This window comes from Homo sapiens, chromosome 6 (assembly GCF_000001405.40).
Source record: "Homo sapiens chromosome 6, GRCh38.p14 Primary Assembly".
Classification (NCBI taxonomy): Eukaryota; Metazoa; Chordata; class Mammalia; order Primates; family Hominidae; genus Homo; species Homo sapiens.
Genome location: NC_000006.12, coordinates 137,110,719 through 137,118,414, shown reverse-complemented (window position 1 = coordinate 137,118,414; position 7,696 = coordinate 137,110,719).

Below are 7,696 nucleotides of genomic sequence, written 5' to 3'. Positions count from 1 at the left end.
TTACCACACAACAATGCTTCTAATAAAAGAACTCTCATTGCAAGAAAAAAGTAGAGCAACTATATCTAATTGTCTACCGGACATCTCCTTTTGGATGTTTTGGAGGCACCTCATGCTCAACATAACTAAACACATGATCTTCTCCCAAAACCCAATCCCCTTCCACAATTTTCTAAGTGAATGGCACCATCACCAATCCAGGTACCCAAACCAGAAACCTTGACATCATCCTTAGCACCTCCCTCTCATCCTTCATATCTAATTATTTCCGAGTGTTATTAATTTTCCCTTCTAAATATTTCTTAAATCCATCCACTTCCCTCTATTTCCACCATTTGTGCTGGGTAGAACTTTCAAGAATACTTTAATTATGTTATTAAATAGGTACTGCCACAACTTTCACCCTCATCTCTTTCCCCTAGTTCCTGATAGTAGAGTCGACAGAAAGCATTTTGTGAGGTGCAGAAAGCATCTTTTAACCCTGAGGCAACAAGAATAAGGACAAAAGCCCCTATATACAGGAGGATGTGAAAGTAGAAAGACAAGATGTGCCCAGATTTCCAAGGGCTTGTTGCACTACCAGGATGTGCCTGGCCCGCCTGTCTCCATGCACAAAGCCCTCTTTGTATAAATTTCTGAATGTATGTAAGTAACTTCATTGTCACTTAAATGAGTGTCACCATAGCTCCCCACCAAGACTTTCTCTCTGAAAGCAGTGGTCATGTGGGTGCATGTTTTGCTCTTCTTAAGGAATTGGAATTTTGTTTTTGCTTCAAAAAAAAAAAAGCTGGCAAAAAAAGAGTGATGCTGATATACTGTTTGTCCCTTTGACTCAACCTAAAATGCTTCTAAAATCAACACTCAAAAGCAATACTAACCACTACCCTAATTCAATCAACATCAAAAGATAGGAAAAAATAAAACTTTATATCAAAAATTTCAAGACTGTTTGGGCATGCCATACCCATCTTAGCTTAAGTCTCAACCAATCTCCCTCTTCTTATCCCAACACATGCACACACAACATACACACAACACATACACAACCCCCAAACACATACCACACCATACACCACATATACATCACACTACATACACACCACACACAGAAAACACACTACATACACACTTCACACACACCACATACCACACCACATACACACCATACACATATACCCACCACACACAATGCATTACACCATACACTCACATACCACATACCACATACACACACACTACACACAGACCACATACCACATGACACACACATATCACATCAAACACGCATACATACATACATAAATCTTTTCCTCTGGATGATCCAGCTAGAGGATCTCACTAATCCCCTAAAAGCACTATCTCTCTTCACTAAGCTCTGCTTTGTCACTGTTGAAAGATATTTGTTTTTTGGCTCTGTCACCCAGCCTGGAGTGCAATGGGGCAATCTCAGCTCTCTTCAACCTCCGCCTCCCAGGTTCAGCAATTTTCCTGACTCAGCCTCCTGAGTAGCTGGGACTACAGGCACGTAGTCCCTGGCTAATTTTTTTTTCTTTTTTTTTGAGACGGTGTCTTGCTCTGTCACCCAGGTTGGAGTGCAGTGGCACGATCTCAGCTCACTGCAACCTCCACTCCTGGGTTCAAGCAATTCTCCTGCCTCAGCCTCCAGAGTAGCTGGGATTACAGGTGCCCACCAACATGCCCGGCTAATTTTTGTATTTTCAGTAGAGACGGAGTTCCACCATGTTGGCCAGGCTGGTCTCGAACTCCTGACCTCAGGTGATCCGCCCGCCTTGGCCTCCCAAAGTGATGGGATTACAGGCATGAGCCACCATGCCCGGCCTGTTGAAGGATATCTTGGTAGGTCAAAAAATCATTTACTGTAATGAAAATGAGATATGGCACAAGGATAAATTTGGAAGATTAATGTGGAGCCATAACCTCAAAAATATCATTACCTTTCATTCAATCCATAGTAGCAGTGACAGTTCTCACCGTTCACAATTCTCAGATGCATCCCAACCCTCAGATTTAGGTCTCTAACACTAATCTCCAATTCAAAGCTACAGGACTCTTCAATGAGTCCGTATGGAAGAAAAAACCCAGATGTTTCTTACGACACTATTTTTGTCATAAGAAAATCGGGGCAGAGCTAAAAGGTTGAAGTAGAAGGCAGCTTACTTCCCGTCAGCCAAGTTATGCCAATTTGAGAATGAGTTCAAAGCAAAGCTCAAAAGAGAAAAGTCAGCATAACATGCAGAAAAAAATTGGTTGTAATAATAAAATGAAAAGAATTGGTTTTAATTTTTAATGACTTTTAAATATATAACATATAAAATATAAAAATATTTTAAAAATGTATATAAATACAAATATAAAAATATTGAAGAAATCATGAATATATGAAAAGGTGATATGGAGATTTTGTTCTTCAATTAAGCATCTCTATATATTTCAAACTGTATATGTATTTGTTTCTGCCTATGTAAACAGGAAAGGGTGAACAAAAACATGTGAGCGAACCAAACAATCCCAGAAAAGTAGGAACCCTGCCAAGAACAGGAAGATCTGATCAGCTCTGCTGATTTTATACAACAGGCAGAGAGAGGAAGGCCCAGCACATGTGGGTTCTCATAGTAAGATCAATTACAAAGAGAGGCCGCAGGAGGCTTCCAAAAGGACATATTCACCAAATGTTCTAGAGAAGAAAACTACCCAGAAAAACTCAATCTCCTACTTTCTAGGGAAGGAAAATTTCTACTAATTATAGCTACTAATTTTAATAAAATACTAATGATAAACACTTGTATTTTTAAAATATCAGGAATCTATGTCTATATACCAAAATGTACAGCTATTCTCAAAAACTTAAAGGATACCCCATTTGAAGAAAGACACATCTCAAAAACTGAGAATCTTCATAAAAGGCAAGGACCTGCGAGTTCCATAATGAAATGAGTACGTTTTTATAAAACAGACTCAGCCTGTTATCAACACTTGGGTTTGAATTTCTTGGATGTTGCCACTCAAAAACTTGTGATTTCTACCAAAGAACCTGCAATGTCAGCTATCCTGCAATAACCTTCATTTTTCTTTGGGTCCGGTAGGGTTACAAAAATCATAAGCTAGTAATAAAACAATGGCTGGCAGGATTATTGAAACCCCTAGAAAATGTAAAAAATAAAACCCTAGGAATGTGCAGGATAAGAACAAAAAGTAATATTTTATCTCTTCTGCTCATAATCATTTTGGTATAACATCTTTAATTGGTTTTGTAAACTTTGCAATGTTTTATACATTTGTGTTTCTTATGGGATTTAAAGTACTTATGAATCTTCATTTAAATTAAAATGTAAAGGCCTTTAATTAAATGTTTAATAAATGTTTAAATATTTGGTGGAATCTAATTGGTAAAACTCATAAGACTTTTTTTTATTACTTGTGTAAGTGCCATGTAATCCTTTAGGGAAATGTCACCTTTTTAAAAATGGCAATTGATTGGCAGGGTACGGTGGCTCACGACTGTAATTCCAGCATTATGGGAGGCTAAGGTGGGTGGATCACCTGAGGTCAGGAATTCAAGACCAGCCTGGCCAACATGGTGAAACCCCATGTCTACTAAAATTACAAAAAAATAGCCAGGCGTGGTGGCACATGCCTGTAGTCCCAGCTACTCCACAGGCTGAGGCAGGAGAATCACTTGAACCCAGGAGGCGGAGGCTGCAGTAAGCTGAGATTGCACCACTGCACTCCAGCCTGGGTGACAAGAGCGAGACTCTGTCTCAAAAAAAAAAAAGGCAATTGATTAATAAATTTAAATTATTTATTAATTGAACATTAAACAACCATTAAGAACATATTTTCTTCAAACATTAAAGCTCCTAGGAAGTTAAACAATCTGTCAACCTCCTTCTGCTCTGAGTCTCATGGCCTCAGTAGCACTAGATCCAGTCTCAGTTAAGGTGACCTAATTACTACAGATGATTTGACTCAGTAAAAATACATTGAACATATATTGTACACCACATCCAATGTGCTGGCATGTGTAACCCATAACTCGAAACACCTGCTCTCTTGACCAATACCAGTTATACCACAGGAATAACTGTAGTTCACATCTCTTACCCTATGTCTAGAAATAAAGTAGGGTATAGAGTGATGGATTCTGCTATGGAGTATGCCAGAGAGACAGCTTCAGACATCAATGAGGACTTGCGAGGTAGAAGTGCTTAAAAAGAGAAAAGAAAAATCTATTTGCCAAATCGTTCCTTCCTCACAGCATTAAACTAATAAATGTTTGCATCATGAAGCACCACGTTCCAGCAGCATCCATTTACTTGCTTCTGTTCATGCTCCAAAACATGTTTTAGAGGCTTTCACAAACTAGTGTGAGATGTGCAGCAGTTGCACATAGTAGTAGCTAAGAAATACTTTTCCACATTGAACAATTCATTTTTTTCTTAAAACTATATCTAATAGGTGTAGATGTAATATGTCAATTACTTATCTAGACAACTAAAGCAAGATGGAACACTATAATTATAAATTGTGTTATTTTCATTAATATATGTAGTAAGATTTAATTAAAATTACAAAACATTGTTTCAGCTTAGACCATCTTGATTCTAAAATCTCACCAATTGTACATATAATTTATTATTTAATTTTATTTTACCTTTTATTTTAACAAGATATCCCAAATACGTTAGTGAAAAATAACTTTTTAAAAATGAAATTATAATTTTTATATTTCCCTTTATTATTTATTTTAATTATAGATAGATATAAATATATTTAAAATCCAAACAGTCTGAACACAATTATATTTTTTAATACTAAATCATTGAGAATAACTACAAGTCAAGAATATGGTAGGAATTGATCATCTGGATTTCATAATATAAAACAAATCTTATATAATTTTTTCATCTGTGTAATGATAGACTTGATCAAACATGTATCAAAGGGGTGGGGGATGGGAGTTGAACAATGAGAACACGTGGACACAGGGAGGGGAACAACACACACTGGGGCCTGTTGGGGGAGGTGGGGTAGTGGGAGGGAGGGAGAACATTAGGAAAAATAGCTAATGCATGCTGGGCTTAATACCTAGGGGATGGGTTGATAGGTACAGCAAACCACCATGGCACACATTTACCCATGAAACAAACCTGCACATCCTGCACATGTACCCCAGAACTTAAAATTTAAATTTAAAAAAAGGAGATGGGGGAGGTAAAAAGAAAAAGATATGTAAGAACATCTTCAAAGAAATGGTTAGCTTAAACTCAAAATCTGAAAACAATGGGAGAAACTAGACTTTAAAATCTTTCATAAAAATTTAATTACTGGTGAAAACAATGAAAATAAGCAAGAAAAATATTATCAAATGCACAGCTTAATCAGTTCAGACAGAATCCCTGCAACTTCACATTCTTTATTAAATGAAGAAGTAATTACTGATCATAACACATCACTTGCACACATAAAATTATTTAACTGAAAAGACTGAACAAATGGTAGTCAATCAATAGTATTAAAGGCAAGAAAACACCAACAGAAAACACCGATGTGATGTTCTTAAAACAGTAATATTTTATGTCTATTTAATCAAGTATAATGATGCTTATCTGGAAATAATAGCAAAATAGTTAAAGAAAACAAACAATGGGAATTTTCTAGACTCTTCTAAAGCCGCTCGTGATGGCAGCACAAGGGTACAGTTGAGGCAGGAGCACAAGTCTGTGTTTCTACCACTCAATATGGCAGAGACAGCGATTTTCTCATGAGACGAATTGGTAGCTGGGTATGAGCTGTCTTGAAGGAACTCAATACAAGAGGGCTACTGGAGCTGGAAGACTCCGGGAGGAATTTGCTGTAGGGTAGGCTACTGAGGGCTGAAACTTGAGGGGTCACAAAGCGTCAGTAGGTGTGGTAGCCAGATTCCAAGACTGCCCCCAAAATCCCTGCCTCCTACGATTCACACCCTGTGTAGTCCCCTCCCGTATTATATCAGACCTGACCATTATAGCAGAAATGAGAGCATGTCACTTTTGAGACTGAGTTATAAAAGACACTATACACAGTATTCCCCACCCCGTCTATCCACGGAGGATCTGTTCCCCAGTGGAAAACCTTCGGTGGATGCCTGAAACTGCAGATAGTACAGAACCCTACATACGCTATGTTTTTGCCATCTGATAATTGACCCAGCTACTAAGTGACTCATGGCTGGGCAGCACATACAGTGTGAATCCACTGGACGCAAGAATGATTCATGTTCCAAGCAGGATGAAGCAGGACAGTGCAAGATTTCATTATGCTACTCAAAATGGCATGCAACTGAAAACTTACAAAGGGTTTATTTCTGAAATTTTTCACTTAAGAGTTTTGGCCTGCAATTGGCAGTGGTAACTGAAATTACAGAAAGCGAAACCCAGTTAAGAGGGTACTACTGCATATCTACATATCTATACTTCTATTTCTATCTCTATCTCCAATCTTTATCTCTCAGATCACTCCTCTAAGTAAAACCAGCTGCCATGTCATGAGCAACCTTATGGAGAAATCCATAATGTGATGAACTGAAGCCTTCTGCCAGCAACCACCTGAATGAGCTTGGGTTTCTGTTTATATCCTCCAGCCTCAGTTAAGCCTTAAGAAGACTGTATCCCCAGCTCAGCTTGAATGCAACTTCATGTACCAACTAATCTGTTCCAAATTCCCAACTCTCAATTATATGAGAAAGCAAATCTTTGTTGTCTTAAATTGCTACCTTTAGGGATAATTTGCTATGCAGCAATAGATAAGTAGATTAGACAGATAATTCCTCAAGGAATTGTGCAGGATGGATAGATAGCCTTACAGGAGCAAAGAAAGAAATCACTAACATGCTTTACAAATTATTCACCTGTTGATGGACACTTGGGTCACTTCCATTTTTTGGCTATTACAAATCATGCTGCTATGAACATGGGTGAACAAATCTCTCTTCAAGTCCCTGCTTTAAATTCTTTTGGGTGTATACCCAGAAATGGCATTGCTGAATCATATGGTAATTCTATTTTTAATTTTTTTAGGAACCACCATGCTGTTTTCCATAGAGACTGCACCGTTTTACACTTCCATTAACAGTGCTTCATTCCAATTTCCCACATTCTCACCAATACTTGTTATTTTGGGTTTTTTTCTAATAGTAGCCATCCTAATGGGTATAAGGGGTTATATGGTTTTGATCTGCATTCCCCTAAATATTAATGATGTTGAGCATATTTTCATGTGCTTATTGATCATTTTTACATCTTCTTTGGAGAAATGTCTATACAGGTCCTTTGCCCACTTTTTAATCAAGTTTTTTGGTTTTCTTGTTTTTGAGTTGTAGTTCTCTATATATTTGGAATATTAACCATTTATCGTATATAGGATTTACAAACATTTTCTCCCATTCTGTGGACTGACTTTTCACTTTGTTGATTGTGTTTTTTGATGCACAGAAGTTTTTAATTTTGATGTAGACTAATGTATTTATTTTTTCTTTTGCTGCTATACTTTCAATAGTTTACCAGCCTTTGATCTACATGATCAACATGAGTGAAGAGAGACACTAAGAAAAAGAGGTGTTATCAGTGATGAAATAAAAGTTATTGAAACCTAAGGATGAAATGAACAGGTAAACTAAATCTGTATTGAATAGGATAAG